The sequence below is a fragment of the Homo sapiens genome, chromosome 2 (genome assembly GCF_000001405.40).
Source record: "Homo sapiens chromosome 2, GRCh38.p14 Primary Assembly".
In the NCBI taxonomy this organism is placed as follows: Eukaryota; Metazoa; Chordata; class Mammalia; order Primates; family Hominidae; genus Homo; species Homo sapiens.
The window spans coordinates 230823396-230825030 of NC_000002.12; the positions used below are offsets into that span (position 1 = coordinate 230823396).

At 52.7% G+C, this 1635-nt stretch overlaps 1 annotated feature.

Annotated features, from left to right (window-relative positions):
• Positions 1004-1173: an enhancer, noted in NCBI's record as "active region_17249". NCBI's record gives its function as "activates an Ori minimal core promoter by ATAC-STARR-seq in GM12878 lymphoblastoid cells {active_cell/tissue: GM12878}" and the evidence as "EXISTENCE:reporter gene assay evidence [ECO:0000049][PMID:35858748]".

Genomic DNA, 1635 nt, shown 5'->3' on the forward strand with positions numbered 1-1635 from the left:
TCTTAAAGTCCTCACCTGTGTGGAGAAAAAGGAGGTGAGGGTCCCTCTGCACCAAGTCCCCTCCTAACCCAAGGGGCACCTTTTCACGCTTAGCTGAATCTCTGTGTGGTCCTGGGCTCTCCCTAAGCCATTGAGGACCTGCTGGTTTCTGGGAACTCACTTCTTTGAAGATCCGGGGCGTGAGGTAGGGTTGGGTGCCAACCTGTGTCATCCAAACACATTAAGAGGGCCCTGTCAGTGCCCCACATCGTCCTTGACACCCGCTTCTGCTTATTGTGAATACCTGTGACTCTGCCTCGGCACTCTCCTCTGGCCCCAAATGCAGGAATGACTGTCCCCAGAAGCAGCCCTCAGCTGCCAGTGTCCTTGGCCCTCAGCTGGGACAGCTGCACTCCTGCCTTCCAGAGCCCGCAGCAGGGCTGAGCTCCGATGCCCACTGCATTAACCAGCTTGCTAGGAACCTTTTGTCAGATTATTTCCATCCCCGGCTCACAACCCATTCTGTAGTATCTCCTGGGATCAAGTCCCAAATAAATAACCAACACTGGAACCCTTATCTGAGGGTGTGCTTCTGGGGTAACCCAAACTAAGACATGCTCATTTTGTTTCTTCTAACTCACAGCCATGCCCGTGATCAGCCAGATGAGAGGGCTCTCTCCTGAAAGAGGAGGCCAGTGAGACAGCAAACAGGGCTGCCTGCCCTTCTGGAAGCATCCTTCCTGTCTCTTTTGCCTCAATATTTAAGAGAGGCTGGCCCCCGAGTATGCATCAAAGCCTGACACCAGGTAGGGAGAAGCCCAGCTCAGCAGAGCCGCTCTTGGCCACAGCTCCTACTGCCTAAAGAAGCTGTTCTGAGACCCCCGACACAGGCTTGCTGTCCCCCAGTCAGCCAGTGCCCCCTGACTCTTATCCTTTCAAAAGCAGCTGGATAGGACACACTATCTGCTCCCAAATAGTTCTTCATGGTCATCAAACATGCTAGCAAAACTGGAAAACCCCAGATTTTCTCATGTTCTGCCCCCTTTAAAAAAAAAGACTTGAAAGGTATAGTCTAGCCCAACAAAATGATTGCACAATTGGGAATTGGAGCCAGAATTTTAGGAAACGTCCAGGTTGAGAAAAGAATTTGGATGGGGACAGTGGAGAGAGGGCTAGGGTCTATGTGGAGGCAGAGCCCGCCCAATGGTGCTAAGGCAGCTCAAAGACGCCTGAAGGGGCCTCTCTGCCTTGCGGGGTCCCCATGAGCTTTCCCTGCAGTCAACTTGCTTTCATTTTTTAAAAATGTCCACTGGGTGGCAGTAGAGCTCCTTGTTTTCAGCAGGCTCTGAGCTGGAGGGAATGGAGCGTTCTAGGGCAAATCTGGGCAACAACAGAGAACCTGGGATGTCGTGGACCCAAATGCCCTGAGCGTCCTGGACGCCTTTTTGAGCAAAAAGGCAGGGACAGTCTAAGGGGGTTATGAAAAGAATGACAGAGGCCGGGCGCGGTGGTTCAAGCCTGTAATCCCAGCACTTTGGGAGGGAGAGGCGGGCGTATCACCTGAGGTCGGGAGTTCAAGACCAGCCTGACCAACATGGAGAAACCCTGTCTCTACTAAAAATACAAAAAATTAGCCGGGCGTGGTGGCGCAAGCCT